At 39.7% G+C, this 23,218-nt stretch overlaps 1 protein-coding gene and 1 long non-coding RNA gene across 3 annotated transcripts in view, besides 1 other annotated feature; one reads left to right on the top strand and one right to left on the bottom strand.

Moving 5' to 3' along the window:
• Nucleotides 1-23,218, bottom strand: part of IGSF5 (immunoglobulin superfamily member 5) — a 90,311-nt gene that overhangs the window by 11,683 nt on the left and 55,410 nt on the right. For both annotated transcript variants that reach the window (XM_047440699.1, NM_001080444.2), the window contains 3 exons: nucleotides 19,184-19,483; nucleotides 11,094-11,309; nucleotides 2,211-2,232 (listed from right to left, as the gene is read on the bottom strand). In XM_047440699.1, the coding sequence (XP_047296655.1) occupies nucleotides 2,211-2,232; nucleotides 11,094-11,309; nucleotides 19,184-19,483 (538 nt within the window). The remainder of the gene's footprint in view (nucleotides 1-2,210; nucleotides 2,233-11,093; nucleotides 11,310-19,183; nucleotides 19,484-23,218) is intronic.
• LOC107985500 (uncharacterized) lies at nucleotides 1,910-11,195 on the top strand. The gene is made up of 3 exons (XR_001755057.1): nucleotides 1,910-1,990; nucleotides 8,734-8,809; nucleotides 11,111-11,195. It is a non-coding gene; the product is annotated as an uncharacterized LOC107985500 (long non-coding RNA).
• Nucleotides 10,579-11,778: an enhancer, noted in NCBI's record as "CDK7 strongly-dependent group 2 enhancer chr21:41150548-41151747 (GRCh37/hg19 assembly coordinates)". NCBI's record gives its function as "activates an origin of replication core promoter dependent on BRD2, BRD4, P300/CBP, MED14 and CDK7 cofactors, with strong dependence on CDK7, by STARR-seq in HCT116 cells {active_cell/tissue: HCT116}" and the evidence as "EXISTENCE:reporter gene assay evidence [ECO:0000049][PMID:35650434]".

Below are 23,218 nucleotides of genomic sequence, written 5' to 3'. Positions count from 1 at the left end.
AGTGAGCCACCACGCCTGGCCAGAGCAGTAGTGTTTGTAATGGTCCCAACCTGAAAACTATTCAAACACCCATTTAAAGCAAAAGGTAAAAATAAATTGCATATGTGCCCAGAATGTAATATTACATAATAATGAGCCACTGACACTCACGTGCCACGGTATGGATCAGTCTCACAGTGAGAGGCTCAAGAAGGCAGACATAAATGAGTATACACAAAATGACGCCATTGATGCATGCACCTAATCTCTGGGGATGTGGGAAAGATGTCAGAAGAATGTCACCTTTGGGGAGGAGGGGTAGGCAGCAATTTGACCGGGGTCTAGGGGGCTTTGGGGATGCTGAGGATGTTCTAGCTGTGAATTTCTGCCATCAAGCCCAGGCATTTGTGCTTTTTGTGAAACCTGATCAAGCTACACACCTGTAACGTGTGCACTTTTCTGTACTTAAAAGTATCTATCTAAAACTAGCAAACAAATACTACAAAAATGCTGTGGGCAAGTATTTGTTAACAGAAATAATCTTCAGAATGTGCAAAGTGAAAAGAGCAAGCTATGAATTAATGGTTACTATAATCCAAATTTCACAAAATGCTTTGTGTGCATATCTATGGGTATATACATGAACATTTGAGTACATAGGTACATACATAGTTAGTTAACAATAATTACTTTGGAACTATAGAAGTGTGGGTGATTTTTTTAAACTATTTCTTGTGCCTATCTTTATATTTATTTTTTCTAAAAATAAACATGCATTGATTTTTTTCCATAATAAACATACAACTATATACATATAATTTTAATTATTTTAATGCAAAAGAAGTCCTCAAGCAGCTGGAGTGAGCACCATGGACATCGTGAAAGGGGAAAGCAAGTGGGGTTGGATTATTCAGTGGGCAACCCCCATTATCCCTCTGGAGCTTAATGCAGTCTCACCTAAGTTCAAGGGCTGCACGGAGACAAAGGTGCCCAAGCCCTGAGGTGGGCCCGTCCAGTTCACATTCAGACAAAAAATTCTACAAAGCATGCAACAGTGAGTACCTGGCATGTACATCAGGCACTCAAGATATACTAGCTTTTCTCATGCTCCCAGTGTCATATTCTATAGTTGTTGTTATCCTCTACCCATTATCCTGAGTAGCTATTGATCACTTTACTGTGCTTTCAAATCACCTAAGACCCCAGAGAACAGAAATGGAAGATGTTGGCACAGTCAACAATGGTGAACCGAGAGTCCAGGCTTCCATTCCGCTGGTAGTAGCAATCAAGAGAAATGCCAGAATAATTATCAGGGTCTATTTTTCTTCCTCTTCCCTTGCCCTAAGTCAGGCCTCAAAGGAGAAATATTTTCAGACTGCTGCTTGGTGGTGTCCTCTCTCCAAACTTCACAATTGCCAGGGGTCAGAGGGAGAAGGGATAACCTTTGCCACATGGTGATTGTCCATATTCATTCACAGAATGTAGCCAAAAGGTATTTTAGAATCTCAGCACTTAAAAATGTAAATATTCTAATAAAATACTGATAACTACATGTGTTGTTATATTACCCACAACAAACAACGTCTGTCTAAAAAACCCTCCCCTTGGTGCACATATGGCTATGTTAACATTGCAGACATTTAAAAGGGTTACTGGCTACTTATTGTAAGTCCTTGACACAGTTACCTTAAAAGTGCTTGCAGCTACTTCTGGGCAGCCTGGGAATGAAAGGAATTTTTCCGTCCTGTCCGCTCCCCACGGCTGAATGAGCACCGAACACTGCCTAATTTGTCTGCCTGGACAGTTTCACGTGACTTGCAGGCATCCGGCTTGGCTCACTGCTCTCCACTATCCCAGAAATTCCAGCAGGACCTCTGCCGGTGGCCCTGGCCTCCGCCCACAGCAGGCGGGATGATAGTCATGGTGCACAGTGTCCTCTTGTGGAAAGAGCTGCAAATGCCAGACACTAAGAAAATCTCCATTTCCCTAAGGGAACCAGAGCAAGTCAAAGGTAGGCAGTGGCAACCCATCTGTTTCATCCCACAGTTCATGTTGCCCTATGAGTTTGTGATCGGCATACGTGTTTTTCAGCATTGTCTACCTCTGGTACTTAATTCTGGATAACATAAATCCAAAAATCCCGCAGTTGTGTGTACGTATTGTTGTTATTATTGTTGTTGTTCAATTTTTTTTGTTTTGTTTTCAGAAAATAGATGTGGTTTCAAACTTACTTTTGAAATTGAATACGAAATCCTGCAAAAAAGAACAAAATTACATTGGAAAAATCGGGATACTTATTCTAAAAATCGAGTCTCATTAATTTTTATACACTCCCTTATTTTAACAGACCCAACATTAGTATTTGTGACCCAAGGAGCATTATTAAGTTTTCCCATACCAAATTATCAAATGACTTCCCAGCATAGGAAAGTAGAATTCACTGTTAACTATTAGAAAAATAAATAATTCCTAGGTACCTGAAATACAGACTGTATAGTACTTACTATATTTCAGTCACCCAGGGGTATTTACTTATTACTTTGTGACTATTGAATTTGATGAGTGAGACTATACAGACTCCATAATACCAAGAAGAGATGTTCTGTGTTATCAATCACTGCTGCTTTTCATTCAATTTTTACCATGTGCCAGCACCAAACGGGCTCTGTGCAAAGTACTAGCTCATTTAACTGTTATAATAACTCAAAAGTAGGTGTTACTGTTATTATATTTTTAACAGACTAGACACTATTATATTAATATTACCATATTTCTTTAATTCAAAGATACATTTTCAATCAATATGTACCAATGGTATCAATTGATACAGTTGTGCCCCCACCCCACCAAAAAAAAAAAAAAAAAAACACTGTCATTAAATTGCTAATGTTTTTAGTCAGTGGATCCATAGACTGATTAAAAGGAATCTAGGATTTGAAGGTGGGGAGTAAAAAGCCACAGATCAAGTCCCCAACCTTTTGTCCCAAAAGCCTGTGATCTTTACAACCGAGCTTTACTGTCCAGGCCTTCTATATATCAAGCTTGATTAAGATTTTTTAAATACTCATTTTCCTTAGTTTTTAGATAACGTTCTCAGGTATTTTCAATTCTAATAACACCTGCCAATTTACATCCCAAACTAAAACAATTCTATCTGGATTGCAGAAAAGAGACTATCAGGTAAGAGATGAATGCCCTCCAGCAACAGGGGAATGCCTCCAACGCCACCAGCGTAAGCACAGTTTGTAAGAAAGGATCTTAATTAGATCCCATTTGTCAATTTTGGCTTTTGTTGCCATTGCATTTTTTTTTTAATACTTTAAGTTTTCGGGTACATGTGCACAATGTGCAGGTTAGTTACATATGTATACATGTGACATGCTGGTGCGCTACACCCACTAACTCACCATCTAGCAATAGGTATATCTCCCAGTGCTATCCCTCCCCCTTCCCCCTACCCCACAACAGTCCCCAGAGTATGATGTTCCCCTTTCTGTATCCATGTGTTCTCATTGTTCAGTTCCCACCTATGAGTGAGAATACACAGTGTTTGGTTTTTTGTTCTTGCGATAGTTTACTGAGAATGATGATTTCCAATTTCATCCATGTCCCTACAAAGGACATGAACTCACCATTTTTTATGGCTGCATAGTATTCCATGGTGAATATGTGCCACATTTTCTTAATCCAGTCTATCGTTGTTGGACATGTGGGTTGGTTCCAAGTCTTTGCTATTGTGAATAATGCCACAATAAACATACGTGTGCATGTGTCTTTATAGCAGCATGATTTATAGTCCTTTGGGTATATACCCAGTAATGGGATGGCTGGGTCAAATGGTATTTCTAGTTCTAGATCCCTGAGGAATCGCCACACCGACTTCCACAATGGTTGAACTAGTTTACAGTCCCACCAACAGTGTAAAAGTGTTCCTATTTCTCCACATCCTCTCCAGCACCTGTTGTTTCCTGACTTTTTAATGATTGCCATTCTAACTGGTGTGAGATGGTATCTCATTGTGGTTTTGATTTGCATTTCTCTGATGGCCAGTGATGGTGAGCATTTTTTCATGTGTTTTTTGGCTGCATAAATGTCTTCTTTTGAGAAGTGTCTGTTCATGTCCTTTGCCCACTTTTTGATAGGGTTGTTTGTTTTTTTCTTGTAAATTTGTTTGAGTTCATTGTAGATTCTGGATATTAGCCCTTTGTCAGATGAGCAGGTTGCAAAAATTTTCTCCCATTTTGTAGGTTGCCTGTTCACTCTGATGGTAGTTTCTTTTGCTGTGCAGAAGCTCTTTAGTTTAATTAGATCCCATTTGTCAATTTTGGCTTTTGTTGCCATTGCTTTTGGTGTTTTAGACATGAAGTCCTTGCCCATGCCTATGTTCTGAATGGTAATGCCTAGGTTTTCTTCTAGGGTTTTTATGGTTTTAGGTCTAACGTTTAAGTCTTTAATCCATCTTGAATTGATTTTTGTGTAAGGTGTAAGGAAGGGATCCAGTTTCAGCTTTCTATATATGGCTAGCCAGTTTTCCAAGCATTCTTATACACCAACAACAGACAAACAGAGAGCCAAATCATGAGTGAACTCCCATTCACAATTGCTTCAAAGAGAATAAAATACCTAGGAATCCAGCTTACAAGGGATGTGAAGGACCTCTTCAAGGAGAACTACAAACCACTGCTCAAGGAAATAAAAGAGGATACAAACAAATGGAAGAACATTCCATGCTCATGGGTAGGAAGAATCAATATCATGAAAATGGCCATACTGCCCAAGGTAATTTACAGATTCAATGCCATCCCCATCAAGCTACCAATGACTTTCTTCACTGAATTGGAAAAAACTACTTTAAAGTTCATATGGAACCAAAAAAGAGCCCACATCGCCAAATCAATCCTAAGCCAAAAGAACAAAGGTGGAGGCATCACACTACCTGACTTCAAACTATACTACAAGGCTACAGTAACCAAAACAGCATGGTACTGGTACCAAAACAGAGATATAGGTCAATGGAACAGAACAGAGCCCTCAGAAATAACACCGCATATCTACAACTATCTGATCTTTGACAAACCTGACAAAAACAAGCAATGGGGAAAGGATTCCCTATTTAATAAATGGTGCTGCCATTGTTTTTGGTGTTTTAGACATAAAGTCCTTGCCCATGCCTATGTCCTGAATGGTATTGCCTAGGTTTTCTTCTAGGGTTTTGTGGGGTTGGGGGAGGGGGGAGAGATAGCATTAGGAGATATACCTAACATTAAATGACGAGTTAATGGGTGCAGCACACCAACATGGCACATGTATATATATATGTAACAAACCTGCACATTGTGCACATGTACCCTAAAACTTAAAGTATAATTTAAAAAAAAGAAAAGGGAACAATGTTGTATTTCTGATAGCTAAATAAATAATCTTATAAGTTAAAGGAAAAAAAAAAAAAGAAAGGAGCCTGGGGACCCTCTAGAATGCTGCCATCCCAAAGCCCCCAGGCCAGGCTGAGCAGAAGCTCAGCCATTCCTATGTGGTCAGTTAATCCGTCGGCTTACTGAGAAATCTCTGGATAGCAGCAGAGAACCAGAAAATACTTTCTGAAAATTTTTGATGTTTAATGTTTTTTAAGCATTGAAATAATCATCATAGAGAAATCCAGACCTTTACTCATCTTTCACACTTATGTAAAGGTATAGCATAATTTCCACTATGAATCACACCTGGTGGGGCAAGGTGGGCATTGTAAGTAGGCTGTGGCAGACCTGTTTGTAGCCTTATCTGGACTTACTGTGAATGGGGTGGGCAGGGGTGGGGTGACAGTTCACTCTTATAAAGGCTTTTCATCTCAAAGTTAAAGAAAAGATTAAATCTAGGATGGATCACAGAAACTTTTAATATACTTATTTAATTATTACTACCAATCTATAGGATAGTATTTATTCCCATTCTGTAGATGAAGAAACTAAAAATCACCTTCTGCATATCCTGTGTGGGCCAACAACCATCGGTTAATCTTCTTATGAGATGAGTATAGAACAGACAAAAGCTGAAGGGAACCAGGATGTACAAATAACCAGAATTTCTCCAACTACTCCACATAGCTCATGTTAGAAATAATGTTCTGAAGGTACTGAACAATCTGTAGTCACATCTCTATTAAAATCTAAGTCATTTAGTGGTTTTCCTTTAAAATCCAGTGTCTTCCATTTGAGTAACCCATCTGGGGCATATGGAATAATTCCCAGGTAAAAACAATTTCCCTTCTAATTTAGGTCCAACAGGAGTTTACTGCCTTTCAATTTCTGCTTCCCAGAGAATAAAGGTATATCACAGATGGAACAATACTGAGAACCCAGAAATAAATCCACGTATTTACAGCTAACTGATTTTTGGCAAAGGTGCCAAGAACATACACTGGGGAAAGGCTGCCTCTTCAATACACGGTGCTGAGAAAACTGGATATCCATATACAAAAGAATGAAATTAGGCCCCTATCTCTTACCATATACAAAATAAACTCAAAGTGGACACAAAATAAACTCAAACTTAAAGAATTAAATATAAGACACCAAACCATAAAACTACTAGAAGAAAACATAGGATAAATCCTTCAGGACATTGGCCTAGACAAAGATTTTATGGCTAAGTCTTCAAAATCACAGGCAACAAAAATAAAAATAGACAAATGGGACTATATTAAACTGAAAAGCTTCTGCACAGCAAAAGAAACAATCAACAGCAAAATTATAACCTACAGAATGGGAGGAAATATTTGCAAACTATTCATCCAACAGGGGATTAATATCCAGACTATATAAGGAACTCAAACATCTCGACAGCAAAAAAACAATGCAATGTTAAAATGAGTTAATGGTCTGAACAGACATTTCTCAATTTAGATGTCTTCTTAGACATGTAAATGGTCAACAAATGTATGAAAAAACATTCAACATCACTAATTCTCAGGGAAATGCAAATCAAAACCACAATGAGATATCATCTCACCCTACTTAGAATGGCTATTATCAAAAAGACAAAAAATAAAAATGCTGGTGAGAATGAACAGAAATGGAAACTCTCATACTCTATTGGTGGGAATGTAAATTAGTACAGTCATTATGGAAAACAGTATGAAGGTTTTTCAAAAAAACTAAAAATAGAGCTATCATACAATCAGGCAATCTGGGTATCTCAAAGAATTGAAATCAGTATGTCAAAGAGATATCTGCACCCCCACATTTATTGCAGCACTATTCACAATAGCTAAGATATGAAATCAATCTAAATATCTATTAATAGATGAGTGGATAAAGAAAATGTGGCACGTGTACGCAATGGAATACTATTCCACCGTAAAACAGAATGAAATCCACAGCACATGGATGAGCCTGGAGGGCATTGTGTTAAGTGAAATAAGTCAGGCACAGAAAGATAAATACCACATGTTCTCACTCATATGCTAGGAGCTAAAAAAAAAATTGAGCACATTGAAGCAGAGATTATAATTGTGGGGATCAGAGGCTGGGAAGGGGAGGTAGTCGGGGGAAGCTAGGGACAGCTTGGTTAATGAACACAAAGTTACGGCTAGATAAGAGGAAAAGTTTCAGTGTTCTGCAGCACTGTAAAGTGAATATGGTTAACTATAAGGTGCTGTGTTTTCAAAAGTCTGGAAGAGAAGATTTTTAAATGTTCACCACACAAAGAAATGATAAATGTTTGAGATGATGGATAAGCTAATTACCCTGATTTGATCATTATACATTGTACACACATATCAAAATATCACTCTGTATGCCATTTTTAAAAAGACAAATACTGCATGATTCCACTTATATAAGATACTTAGAGTAGTCAAATTGATAGAAAGTAGAATCGTGGTTGCCAGGGACTGGGGGGAAGCGGGAATAGGGAGTTATTGTTTGATAGGTACAGTGTTTATTTTGCAAGATGAACCTAGATCTGTAGATGGATGGTAGTGATGGTTGCATAAAAGTGTAAATGTATTTAATGCTACTGAACTGTACACTCAAAAATGGTTAAAATGGAAAATTTTATGTAGATTTTGCCACAATTTTTTAAAATAAACAAGTTTTAACAATAAACATGCAAAACTAGCCAGAAGAACACTAAAACGGAAAGCTACAAGGCAGACTCACCCAAGGAGACATTAAAACATACTATAAAACTTCTATAATTAAAACAGTACAGTGTAAGTGCATGAATAGGCAAACGGACCAATGGAACAGAATAGAGAGCCCAGAAAGAGACCTAAGTGCATATGGAAATCAGTGTTTGATAAAGGTGGCATCTCAAACCACCAGGCCAAAGACAGAGATTTCAGTCAATGCTGCCGGGACAACTGCTTAGTTATTTGGAAGAAGATAAAATTAGATGCATACAACATATCACACAGAAGAATGAATAAAACCTAGAAAGACAAATAAATGAAACCATATAAGATATAAGCACCAGAAAAAAACTTCCATATAAGGAAATACTTCCTATGACTCAAAACGCAGATAAAGGGGGCCATCGGTCCTAACATCAAAAGAATTCTTAAAATTAGAAGGAGTAAAAAGCCCAAAAATCTGAGAGAGAAAATAATGAGCAAAAGATATAGAATGACAAGTTATAAAAACATATAAAAATTGTTCTCAATCATACAAAAAGATGGAACAGTAGTTCAACCTCACTTATAATAAGATAGAATCAAAACTATGCTGAGATACCATTTCTTATTTACTTACTTTCCAGGTTGGCATAAACTAAACAGTATGATGACACCCTGTTGGCCAGGCTGTGGGGAAACGGGAACTCTCATGTGTTGCTGGTAAGCATGCAAATTGTACAACCTTGCTGGAGGGAAATTTGGCAATCCGTGACAAAACTACATACACACGTAGCTTTTGACCTAGCAATCCTACTTCTGAGAATTTACCCAAAAGCTACACCTCCATAAATATGAACATACACAACATTATTCATTGCAACATTGCTTGTAATTGCAAAATACCAGAAATGACCTAAATGCTTATATATTGGAGAATGGTTGAATAAACCATGGTACATCTACACAATGGATAACCATATAGCTGTAATAAGAAAGGAAGGAAATCTCAATGAACTGACATGGATTGATTTCCAGGATATACTGTAAGGGAAAAAAAGTAAAATGCAAAAGAATATCTATAGTGTACTGCCCTTCATGTAAGGAAGAGAATATAAGAAAATATTCACGTGTCTGAAATTTTTTTAAGTTATACTACAGAGTGAATTGCCCAATCACAAACCAAATTCATCGAGGAACTAAGACTAGACCTTTAGTTTAGTTAAGGCTAGTCCATGCATTTTAGTGAGATACTCCATGTAAAAGAGTTAGCACAGTGCCTGGCACACACACACTAAGTGTTCATTGAGTGGCAGTTAGTGTTAATAAAACTTAAAATGTAGTTCAACTGACATGCAAGCTAACATCAAAACTCCGATCTTTAGAAAAATAATTTAACTGTACAAAATGTTCAAACAGGAGTACATGAAGTTTTTAACAAAAGGAAGAAAGGTAAGGACAAACACACATTCAGCACATGGAAAGTCCTGGAGCATTCTCATGATAAAGCATCCGTAGGCTTCTGAAGCCACAAACTGCCTAATGCTACGACAAGCCCACCTAGTGTTTATGTGCCCACCTCACCATTGATCCCAACCGCAAGCAAGGCTACTGCTTTCATACGATGTGGGAGTATCTCAGAGAATTTCATTCTAAAGAAACACGTAATTATTTTTATTAATTGTATTGATACTATTTTTTATTAACAGAAGATCTTATTTTTTCTTTCTACCACTCTATTAACATTCACCTACAAAGGGAGATTTAAAATTCTTCAGAATAGGAAACAACCATTTAATATGTTCAGATATGTAGATATGATTCTAAAAAACCATAGCATCTAAATGACATTATAATAGCTATATATCCTTACAAATAAGCACAAAAATCCAATAATCAGTGTCTTTGGTGAGAAAGGCACTGCTTCAATCACTTTTTCAAGAGCATGAAGATCTTGGTCTTCCTAAGGGGTTGCATCAGGCCCCAAAGAAACAGCTTCCTTCCTTAAGAAAGTCCTTTTCTTCTCCAAGAATTTGCCACCGTTTCTTTCAAGGACTCTTAAAGCCAATGTGTCTTTCATTGTGGTTTTTATTTTATTGTTATTGTCTGAGCTTTATTAAAACACACAGACAAATAAAAATTATGTGTATTTACAGTGTACGCTGTGATATTTTGAGCTATGTACATATTGTGAAATGATTAAATCAAGCTAATTCATATAACCATCATCTCACATATTCATCGCTATTTTGTGGTGAGAATATCTAAGACCTGTTCTCTTAGCAATTTTCAAGTACACAATACATGATAATTAATTACAGTCATCATGCTGTACAGTAGATCTACAGAATTTATCTTTCCTGTCTAATTGAAACTTTGTACCCTTCGACCAACATCTCCCCAACCCCCATTCCCACTCCCTGGTAACACCCACCATTCTACCTCCTGTTTCCATGAGCTTGGCTTTTTTAGATTCCACCTATAATAGAGATCATACAATATTTGCCTTTCTGTGTCTGGCTTATTTCACTTAGCATAATATCCTTTAGGTCTCTCCAGGGTGTAGCAAAGGACAAGATTTTCTTCTTTTTGAAGGCTGTCTAGTGTTCCATTGTGTCTATATACCACATTTTCTTTATCCATTCATCTATTGATGTACATAGGTTGATTCCATATCTTTGCTATTGTGAAGAGTGATGTAATGAACGTGGAAATGCAGATATCTCTTCAATATGAAGATGTCATTTCTTTTGGATATAGACCCAGGAATGGGATTGCTGGATTATAGGATAGCTCTATTTTAATTTTTGGGGGAACCTCCATACTGTTTCCATAAAGGCTGTAACAATTTACATCCCACCAACAGTGTGCAACCACAGTTTCTAATAGAGGTAAAGTGATATTGTAGTTAATCTATCTTTTGAAAGAGCTGATGAGTTCATTAACTTCAACTGCTTGTACCAAAAGTTCAGAAGTATGTACAAATGTAAATGAACAAAAAAATTACCTCTTTTTCTTCTACAGCAGAAACAACAACGGCAGCAGCAGTTGCAGCCACAACAACGACGGCGGCAGCAGCAGCAGCGTATTGTAAGAGTACACGTCGGCGTCAGAAGCATGGTGCCTGCTAGTCCAAGTCCAACTTTGCCCCAAGTAGGCAATGAAAAACCTAAACTCGGTAAACTTGATAATACACCTGGAATATTAATACCACCTCCAGTGTCTAAAGAAGAAAAAAATATATTTTAGTGATACTTGCACTGCCTAGAATCACAGATTCTGCCCCATTATAAGTTGCATTATGTTTTCTAGTAATATTATAACTATTCAGCCTGCTATGGCTAGGCGTCATAGGCCAAGTTTCTTTCAATGTGTTTAATTATTCAATACTCTACAGTACCTTCCATCACAATACTTATTTCTGCCAGTAAACAACTTCTTAGTAACCCAGTTCAGGTGTTGCTTGTTTAATGTCTCTAATATCCCTGAGAAGTAGATAAGGCAGGGCTGGGCTGACAGTCCCCTGAGGTTGGCATAGTGATGGTCACGTTTGACATCCTTTATTTAATCAAGAAATACTTTTTGAGCACTACTGCTGGACAAGACTGGAATAAAGACATTTTGTTCTCCCTTCCATGTCCCCACTCATTGAGAGTCCAGCGCCCAGAGGAAACCAGAATATTCTGAGGGACAGTCACTTCTAAAGGAACTTAGGTGCATGGCTTGCACCCTAGCCGCATCCAGCTCCCCGATCCTCAAATTAATTCCTCACACAGCAATTGCTTTTTCCATAGCTTTTCAGGAGACACCTTCCTTAGTGTGTATGTTGCACTCTTATTTTACCTAGTAGTCATGGAGGTGGGAGGAAAAAAGGGTAAGGTGAGGCAGAGCAATCAGGAAGCAAGAGGGAGGTAGGGAGAGAAGGAGAGAGGAAAAAGCCATTTTGATTCTTTTCCACCATGTCTTAAGCAGAGCTGTTGTGGCTTCACATGATCATCCAAATTCAAATTTAAGTTAATTAAAAGTATGAGTCATTAAATATTCAGTGCCTCAGTTGCACTAGCCACATTTCAAGTGCTCAGTCACCACAGATGTAGAACGTTTTTATCGTCACAGAAAGGGACAGTATGGGAACTACATTGATGTTCCCAAGAGAGTTTTCATCCAGCCCTTCACTTCTCCCTAGCGCACCACGCTGAAGTCAAACCACACACATTTAAGTTGATCTGTTTAATTGTGAATTGTTATTCAACAAAAGGCTGTCACTCAACCCTGCGTGCTTGGGTGGTATCTTAATGTAAATGCATGCTATTTTGTTAGATACTAGTCTTTAGAAAATACTGAAACAGTAGACTTCCTATGAAGGAACATGGGGTTTGCTTTGAAATCAATGGCCATCCACCACTTTGGAACCACAGACTGGAGTTCAAAAACAGCTCTTAGATGTTCTTCCTTAGAATTTTCCTGGAAAATTGACCTTGCAATAGTAGTTTGCTATTCCTGTGTCAATGTTAAATGACTCTGCATGGAGAATAGAAGTCTATGCACCAGGCAGTCAGCTGCAGCTGAACCAGGTCTAGGGATCACCTTTCTCCCCATAGTAAGATGCCCAGAGCAGAACTGTAGGATTATAAGGAAGTCAAACTACTTTCCTAATGCTGTCTATCTCCACATCTCCCACCATCCGAGATGAGCTGGAATAGATAGAGACTTGTAAAAGGCTCTCCCAAAAATGGTGAAGATGGAAGGAACAGATTACACCCTTCCCATTCCACACCTTCCCAGCCCCGGAGCTGAAGCACTAACACAAGGCAGACCCTTCACATGCAGAGAGCACATTTATCCCCTTGCTCCACAGACAGCAGAATCCCAAGCGTCACCTGGAATATCATTGCACATGCAGATTCAAAGCCCGCCTCCAGGATCACAGAGTCAGGATATCCCGAATGATACCCCAAGTGATTCTGATGCAGATAGTTGGTGACCCACATTTTGGGAATCCCTTGTACGCAGCCACAATGTAAACACTGCCCAAGCTACCCACGACATGACAGGATGCTCTCACACTCCCCCTCCCACAGATGTGATAATAAAATGGTGAAGTCCAGAGTTGGATCCATGATCTTCACAGTCTTGAGTTGAAGGTTGGACCACTGTGTGGGAGCTTTGTGACTGAGCGAGAACTTTAGGTTTCCTGTGGATGGAACCAGTGAAATCTCATGACCAGCATTTCTTGCTGCATTAACTTTGGCTTCTGGCTCACTTACCAATAACAACTCCTGTCCCACCAGGCTGTTCAGGGGTGTGTGTGAAAGTTCTGAGAATGCTGTAAGCTACAGTGCACAGGCTCAAGATGGCAGTGGTCATCCTATTTCCAGTTTAACGGACTCTTACGAACTGAAGTTTGCATATATAACAAGTTTTCTTAATAAGGGAGCTGGCTGGGGTTAACCAATGAGGTCTGGCTCAAGATTTAAGAGACAGGCTTGAAATTCTCACTGGCATAAGACAGGATGCTTGTTAACTTACTCACACACTCTCTATCAGTACTTTCCTTCCCCTACTAGACAGAAATACGAGTGTGCCAAACTTCCTGAATCTGGACATAACATTTCCTCTAATCTAGCCCAGAGAGAGCCTGCCTTAATCTAGGACAGAGAGGGCCTGCCTTATTTTCAGAGAATGCATGTTTAACAGAAGGGAAGGGACACTTTGCTGGGAATGGTGACTGAGTCAAGGGAGAGACTGAGGGCCAGAGGGACTTTAAACACTCTTTTGTCCCTTAATTTAACCACAAAGTTCAGAAAGTGATGCCTGCATTCAGTTAAAAGACCCAAACTCTGACAAAAATGGAACTGGTATTAGGAACCACATCACTTATTCTTTCACTTCCTATTTGTTGTGACCATGCTCCATTGGAAGGCAAATGTTCCAAGTTTTATGCCTGGGTGAGACTTAAGCTGAAGTCTCCCTTTAATCCACTGGAGCTCAAAGTGTAGTGTACGAGTCAGCAAGAGGCATGATTTAGTGCTGGGGCTACAAAGATAGACCTTTCTTATTTTCATAACCATTTAAAATTTATCATATATAATATATATTTTATATCTATACACATAGGTATACACACATGCATGTATATTTTTGTTTAGTATGGAGCTAATTTTTTTAAAAAGAGTGCATTTACTGTATACTGAAAAATAGATCATAGCCATATATTATTGACAAACCAAAAATCTGACAGTGGACAGAAAACACAGACTCTTGGAATGATGTCATCCATAATCCAATCTTTTCATCATGCAGACAAGACGCTCAGGACAGAGTGACTAAGTAAATGGCACAGGGAGCCCAGAACAGGAAGCCACAGGGCCACTGGCTCATATCTTTCCATCCTGCCATGTGTTGTCTCCAATGTAGAATAATCCTTCTGAGGAAAATATGGCCCAGGTATGACATAAATGTATTTGCATAAAGTCTACAGTGGGGTGCTGGTCTGTGCCTTGTACCCTATGGAGGGTGTGGGTGTGTCTGGCTCAGGTGAATGGCAGGTTTGCTGGAGAGGATGAGTATACTATACCTGAGTAACCCACACATAGTGACTAAGGAAGATTAGCTCCAAGGTCAACACTGCTTGCCTTTCTCCCTGCACTCCTTCACACCACTGTGTGCTTGTTAGGGCCTCATTACTGACTTTACCATGTGCTTTAACCTCCACTTGGAGATTGTCCTTTTCCCATCTGTGAAGAAAAGGAAAATAGCATTTCCCAGATGCTCTCAAAGGAATGCATAGAGTTTTAAAAAGGTATAGAATTTCTTAAAACCAAATGGATTAATATAAAATGTCACCACCAACACGTGCCAAGTACATATTAATACCAAATGTCACCACTATCATGTGCAAAGCATATCCCTGTGCCCACTAGAGGCGACACAAGAGATCTCCGAATCAATAGTGTGAATGACAATCACTCCCTTTCCAGTCCTATGTGCTCTGGAGCAAGGACCGTTCTAAAACTGAGGCTCAGAGAGGGTAAGTAATTTGCCCAGAAGACACACGGCTAGTGATTGTGTGAGCTGGGATTGGAACCCAGGCTGTCTAATGTCCAAGTCTGTGTAGACATAGCACTTGATCGGGCTGGAGGGGAAGGCTAGGCCTTAGAGATTTTTTTTTTCAGTTCAGTAGCCCCCAATCCTGGCTGCCCATTAGAGTAACTTGGGAACTTTTTTTACAATTGCAATTCCCAGGCTCCACAAAAACCAATGAAACAAAACCCCCAGGAGGAGGCTGAGCCTCAGCATATTTATAAAGAAGGCTCCTCTGCTGTCTCTGATCCACAGCCGGGAGAGAGGACTTCTCTATTCTTCTCCTACCCACTTTACAGGTGAGAAAACTGAGCCCTGAAGTTTGCTGACTTGCCCAAAGTTGCACCATCAGTGCCAGGGCAAAGGCCTAGGACTGTCACTTCTACTACTCTTCTCTGCACCCAAAATTGCCATTTCTCAAAACAGTAAGGTTATAACCAGGAATCACTACATTCCACAAGGTGCTCATGTGTCCTAAAAACATTACTTCATTTTAACCATTTCACAACCTACACACAAATAAGTGCACAAAGAAAACCACCCCGAGGGGCAGATGGCTCTGACAGTGCTTCTCCCAAGACAGGGTGAGACGGCCTCACTCTCCAGTTTTGGATACGTCTGCAATGCTCGAGGTTTGTATCATTTCTGTAGTTAAGAAAATCAATTTCTAAAAAACAGATCTGAAATGAATGTCAGCCCTCCCAGTATGTTTTTCTCTAAAGAAACCTTTTGAACTATAAACCAGGAAGTACTTCATACAACCCTGTGACTTGCCCTGACTGGATAAGCTTCCAAAGCTGACGTCATTCCTGTTTCAACGACTTGCAGGGATCATTTCAGAAATGAAAACAAATGCTTTGCACTTTTAGGAAATGGGTGGAAAAATGGATGTTTATATGATTCCTGAAGAAGCCTGAATGGGCACAGCCCCATTAACACTTGGCTCTCTGGAAACCTGGCTGTTCTCCTTACAGCCTCGTCTGGTCACCAGCTCCGCCAACCAAGGCTGCAATGAGGTCTTCAGCTAATAAAACTTACCTAAAACACACAACATGCAGCCAGCCACCAGCTGCACTGGATCTTGATGAATAATTTAGAAACAAATTACCCTGTTCCAAATGAATCCAATAAAGCTAGACTCATTGCAAGCACCCACTGAGCCTCCCTCTCCAGCAGCCATGCCTCCAGCTACCATCGTTAAGGCACTAGTTCTGGACTAAGAAGAATTCAGTGAATTTAACCTGACCAAGGGAAATTAAGTGCTCTCTTTCCCTTCCACTACAAAAGAAAACATTTGCAAGCAAGCCAGTCTCTAAAATCTATCTCTCTAAGGTACCATCAATCAGGCCAGAGCTCCTGCTGCATCGTTACCTCGTTAAGATATATGCTTTAACCAGTCCATTTTATTCCATTTGGTGCTAATGGATTTTTTTAAAATCTTCTCTTTCAAAGTTTGGACCATACTTTATCATATTTAAGTAGACTAACTTATGATATTTAAGGTTGGTTCTCTGGAGAAATGACTGATTCCAGGTGGAGACAGGGAAGTGCAAAGTGAGACTGGAACACCTTACTGGTCCAGGTGCTCAAAAACTAATAGGGGGATGTCGGAAGGACACCAGCACCAGCTTGGAGGGACACCAACTGACCAAGTCTGGAGCAATCTGGGTGTCAAAACGAAAAATGACAGGAATAGATTAGAATGTATTGGACAAAATTGAGTCCCTACTAAAACTGTGAGGAAAAAAAAAGAAAAGGAAGAAAGGGGAGGGAAGTCTTTTGTTTAACAAAAGAAAGCCAATTAAGAGATATGGAAAGAATAATGGAAGCAGGAAATCACTCTTTACAATCACCATAGAAGTAATTGATTCAGGCAATGATTTATCAATGAATGTAAAAGTTAGTAGGTAAAAAAAGAACAAAATCATCTCCTTTGCAAGGACGTGGATGGAGCTGGAGGTCATTATCCTTAGCAAACTAATGTAGGAACAGAAAACCAAATACCGCATGTTCTCACTTATAAGTGGGAGCTGAATGATGAGAACACAAGGATACATAGAGGGGAACAACACACACTGGGGTCTATCTGAGGGTGGAGGGTGGGAGGAGGGAGAGAAGCAGGAAAAATAACTAATGGGTACTAGGCTTAGTACATAGGTCATAAAATAATTTGTACAACAATCCCCTGTGACATGAGTTTGCCTATACAACAAACCAGTATGTGTAACCCTGAACCTAAAATAAAAGTTTTTTTAAAAAATTGTATTAGGTGAAAGGTTGTGGGTAAACAGGATATTCCCACAATATCTATTGGCTACATATTAATTATAAAGTCAAAAAAGGTACTTTTATGTTGGATAAATTCAGGGTATGCCACCTTCACCAAACGGTCAAACTTACGCCAATGAAAATTGTCATCCTGTGACCACATTACATTACCTATATCTTGCCAAAAATATGTAACCTAAGTCAAAGTATGATGAAAAATTTTAGACAAATCCAAATTGATCCAAATTGATCCAAACTGACCCAAATTGAGAGGCATCTTGCAAAAATAACCTGTACCGTTCAAAAGTGTTTATCTCAGAAAAGACCATAAAAAATGGGACAACACCAAGTAAAGATGAAGGCAGAGAGGAGGGTGATGTTTCTACAAGCTAAGGAAGATGGCCAGCAACCACAAGGAACAAGGGGAGAGGTAAGGAACAGAGGCTCCCTCCCAGCCCTCAGGAGGAACCAGCCCTGATGACACTTCCAACCTCCAGGACTGTGAGAAAATCCATTTCTGTTGTTTAAGCCACCAAGCCTGTGGTCCTCCGTTACGGCAGCCATGGGACCTCTTATACCCTCCAAGTGGCTGCTCACACGGTGGGCAGAGTTGCCAGGTGAGCAGTTTCTGGAGACAGACTGCCTGTCATTTACTCACTCTACAGGTGAGTACAGGTTGCCCTGTCATTTACTCACTCTACAGACGTGTGCACAATCCCAACAGCACTGTCCCGGTCACCTTGCCTTTACAATAGGAATAACAGCAACACTCATACGGCTGTAGGGCCGGTTAATTCTGTGAATACCTGAGAAGTGCTCAGAATAGTGCCTGATAACTTGGTAAGAGCTATAGGGTGCTGTTTATTATCGTTACCATCATTATTTGGCTTTGGCTATGGCTTTGTTCTGAACTTTGGAAGATCTCAGGTAAAGGTGTTTTCATGGTGGGAAAAGCTTTAGACACGAAAAGAAAAGCTCTTCTCAGCTTCTAGGCCCAGCTCTGCCACTTTGGCTGTGTGACCCGGATGAAAGCACAGACTTTCTCCGGGCCTCACTTCCTTTTTTGTAAAATGTTAAGTTAAAGTCAATCTCCAGCATCCCGGGCCCACCCTGTCCAGGCTGACTCAAAGCTCACAGGCGCTATGGGCCCCTTCAAGGAATGTGGTTAGAGTGTCTGGTACACCAAAAACCCCACAGGAGATTCTTTAGGGGGATCTAAACTTTAAAGTTCTGTCATTTAGTCAAGTTAAACTATATACATATAGACTTGACACTTTCAAACACATTGTAGATTTGGTGGGGAAGAAAATGAAGCATTATAATTCCACTAAGATTGGAAGAAATCCAGGGAGACCTGAACACCCTCCTCCAGTATGAAGACCTGCTTCATACTGGCTCAGGGGGTGGGATCAAACTGAAACAGTGGTAGGTAAAAGCTAGAAACACAAATGTTTAATTCAAGCATTTGTCTCCAAACTTGATGCTCTTTGATGATAAATAATTGGCAAGATTCTAAATGGTTTTCAAATGTAATAGGAGAAAAAAAACTTTAAGATGGAATTTAAAAAGCAGACGAGGGTATAAGATTATTAAGCTGACAGCAGATGTGATTGGCCTTATCATCCCCACCCAAAATCAAGGTCGCCATATGATTTTTCCAGGCATCGTGGATGAAGGAGCATTCTACGTAATATTGAAGCATGAAATAATCATTCATTTCATATAAAGCAGAATGTCTTCACTTACCTTGGGGACACCGAATCACAGTGAGATTTACAGTTGCAGACTTGCGGGCCTTCAGGCTCTTCCAGGTAGCCACGCAAGTCAAAGTCCCATTGCTCTGTGGGGTCAGAGCCAGGATGCTCACTGCACTTTGAAGGTCGCTGGGCTCCGGAACAAAATAATAGCTTGAATGGCTGACCAGGAGACCGAGCTCCCAGGAAATATCCGGGAGCCGGGTCCAGTGTGAGGGTAGACAAGTAACTTCACAAGGTTCATTCTCAGCGACTACAAGATTAACACTGGGAATGAACAGCTCTCCCATAACTAAAGAAGAAAAGAGAGAAACACATTGAAGACATGACCATGCCTCTCGCTTCTAAGTTTTCTTTTTTTTTTTCTTTTTTTTTTTAAGTTTTGCTTCAAATTACATTTTGTGAGACCTATTTTCCCAAGCCCAAAGAGGCTGTGTCTCTACTAGGAAATCTTAACTCAGATTTTATCTGGGTCTTTTTTGTACACCTGCCAGAGTCTCTGAAGAAGGTGAGGTTGCTCACAAGAAAGCAAAGTTACATAGAAAATGCTTCATAAAAGTCAGAAACCAGGGGGAAATAATTATGTGGGAAAGAAAAGTGCATGCCATAGGGGGGTTATACAATCCCTGAAGTGAGCTACAGAATTATCTTGGGCTGTCGAGGGAGCAAAGGGAAAAAGAGAAACGAGCTTCACCTTCTTCTCACTGTGACGAGGACACAGCCCAGGGTCAGACGCAAGTCTCCCCTGGAGTTTTGGTCAATCAGATACATTTTTATTTATTTCTAGGGTCATATGGTCTTAAACATAACTTCCTAGGGTATTGCCTTAACATAGGTTTCTCATTACAAATTAAATCGAATTCCAATCTAATATTTACAGAAATAACTAACCCAAATCATGTGCCAGAATAACTTAGATAAGTTATTTTTTTATTAAGAACACTCTCGCATAGGTCAGCATTCATACTGCAAACAACCCATATGAAAATAGTACTTGTTTTCACAAGTGTGACTAAAACAACCTGAGGATTGGCCCCAGTAAAGACACAGCCTTAGTGAAATGTGTATACATATATGTCCAAGAAAAACATGCTGAAACTCTGGACTACACAACATAATGGAAAGAATACTGAACTAAGAAATGAAAAAATTTGTTCCCAATCTTGGTTCTGCCAGAAAATTGTCATCACTTTGGGCAAGTCACTGAATTTTTTTGGCTCTCTTTGTTGTACTTACTGAATGAGATAGTTTGACCAGATCAGCACTTCTCAAACACTTTGGTCTCAGTACCTTTTACACTCTTCAAAAGCATTGAGGACTCCAAAGACCTTTCATTTGTGTGGGTTTTATCTACCAATATTTATCATATTTGAAATTAAAGTTAAACAATTATTTTAAACATATATTTTAAAATAATAATTTATTACATGTTAATTTTGATTAACATATTTTCATGGAAACGAATCACATTTTTAAACTAAAAAAATTAATAAGATGAGTGACATTGTTTTATACTTATATAAATCTCTGTAATGTCTGGCTGGATTCTCATAGCTGTCTCTTCATTCAGTCTGTTGCAATATACTGCTTTGTTTGAAGGATGTAAAGAAAACCTGACTTCATACAGATATGTAGTTGGAACAGTGAGGAGTATTTAATAGCTTTTTCAGATAATTGTGGATATTCTTGAATACTGTACCAAAACTTACTTTTCTCTTTTTTTTTTTTTTTTTTTTTTTTGAGACAGACTTTCACTCTTGTTGCCCAGGCTGGAGTGCAATGGTGCCATGTTGGCTCACGGCAACCTCCGCCTCCCAAGTTCAAGCTATTCTCCTGCCTCAGCCTCCCGAGTAGCTGGGATTACAGGCATAAGCCACCGCGCCCAGCACTTTTTTTAAGAGATGGAATTTCACCATGCTGCCCAGGCTGGTCTCAAACTCCTGGGCTCAAGTGAGCTGCCCGCCTGGGCCTCCCAAAATGCTGGGATTACAGGCATGAGCCACCATTCCCGGCTGAGGTTTCTTAAATGTTTGTTACACAGTGGAATCTGAAACTCTATCAAGGAACTTTCATTTTCTGTTATGTTGAAACCCATTGCACTATCTGGCACTTTGAATGGACCTTTTATCCTTGCATGATTTTGTTACACTTCAGTCATCTGGAAAATTCTGAGGCATGCAGACCTTCCCAATGTATAGTGGAAAGCTCTCCTGTGCACTTGTGAGAAGAAGGGTGAAAAAGGCAACAATAATAGGAATCTTCATATTATTATGAAAACAATCATGACTTCATAGACCACCCTGAAAGGATCTCAGGGTACATCAAGGAGTCCCTAGACTACAGTGAACTGGGTCGGCTCTGAAAGATCTTTTTGCTCTGAAATGTTAGCTTCCCAATTATTCCTTCCTGAATATTCCCTTGGAATAAGAAAGGCACTTTTGCTAATTCAAGGGCTACTGTAAATGCAACAAGGAGTGGAGAAAGGGTTTGTCCCTTGAGTCTAAAGGGTTTTGTGTTTGTTTTGTTTGACAGAGAGACGGTTTAAGATGACAGAACTGGGAGGAATGATATTGTCTCAGTTAATAACAGAAGCTCTTGAACTCAAGTCCTTGCAGCCCTCAAAACATAAGAGGTCTAGAGTTTGGTGTGTGATTGATTGGTGGATAAGGCAGCAAGTGGACCAACTCAGCGATCTGAAGGATTTCCTTTTTCTGTATACACTTGGGATTCCACTTTCCCCCACTGGCTTTCACAAAGGTTAGCCAGTAGCATGACAAACCCTTTATACAAAAGTGATACTAGAATATTCACATGGATTTCAGATGACTCAATTTGGAGTTATGTCATCTCTATTTTGTTGACATATAAGGAGGTGAAAAAATCATAGAATAATTCATGGTTGTTTCCTCTTTTTTCAAGATTCTTTCTCCCTTGAGGGAGACCCTGTTGCTCAGAGAACATTTGCTCCTCTAGGAACTAAGTGCCATTCAGAGCAATGAGATGAGGATAAAGGGATGAAGTTCAGGCCAAGCTCTATGGGTTCCTCTCGCAATATCTTGGAGAAGTCTTTGCCTTCTCTAGATGCTTGCTCTTTCATCTGTATTAAAACCAAAAACTACCATAATTACCAATATATAAAAAGTCAGCGGGATTCAGACAAATTTGTAGACTTGTGACTTTGGGAAAAGATGCTACAAAACCACATGGTTTCTGAATGTGATGTGTCATAAGTACAGCAGTAATAAGCCATGCCTGTGATCCTGTGTTTCCCTGCTCCAGGGATGCCCTCCTCCTCTCTTGCTTTCCCATTCTGTCTACCATCTACAGACCTGGAAGGCACATCTCCAATGGCACCTTCTCCATGAAATCATCCATGAAGGCTTTATTGACTCTGTCAGCTCCCCTCCCGACTGGAACCTGAGCTTGCCTCCCTTCCATCTCACTTGCCAGCATCTGGGTGGCTGGCATCCCTATTATTTGTGCAACTTGCATTATCCACTCTTCTTGTGAGGTTCTAAAGAAAGAAACTGTGTCTTATTCTATTCCTCTTTGAGTCACTCTTAAATAACCAACACAATGGCATGCTTTTATTGGGAGCACAATAAATAATAGCAAATGGCCATACAGTGATTGCTATGAGCCAGGTGTGGTAAAGGCTTTACATAGACCTACTCATTTGACACCACGGCAGCCCTATGATGAGGACACTAGGACTCAAAGTCATTAAGTAATTGTGTCCCAGGTCACACATTGTCATAAAGCAGTAACATGGACCCAGGCAGCCAAGCCCCAAGTCTGCACTCCTGACCACTAGACCACTCTGGCTCCCAACTTAATGTGCAGGGAATTGAATCAGACAGGACTTTGGAGTCATCAAACCATCTTTAGCCATTTTTTCACCTGATCCACACAACAAACCCATGAGGTGGGCCGGGAAGATTCATCTCCAGGTTAAAGATGAAGAAATTGAGCCATCTCAGGGGTCTCTCTGATAGATAACTGATGAAGCCAAAACCAGAATTTATAT

The sequence above is a fragment of the Homo sapiens genome, chromosome 21 (genome assembly GCF_000001405.40).
Source record: "Homo sapiens chromosome 21, GRCh38.p14 Primary Assembly".
In the NCBI taxonomy this organism is placed as follows: domain Eukaryota; kingdom Metazoa; phylum Chordata; class Mammalia; order Primates; family Hominidae; genus Homo; species Homo sapiens.
The sequence above is the reverse complement of the archived record's forward strand: the minus strand, read 5'-3'. Positions and strand labels throughout refer to the sequence as shown.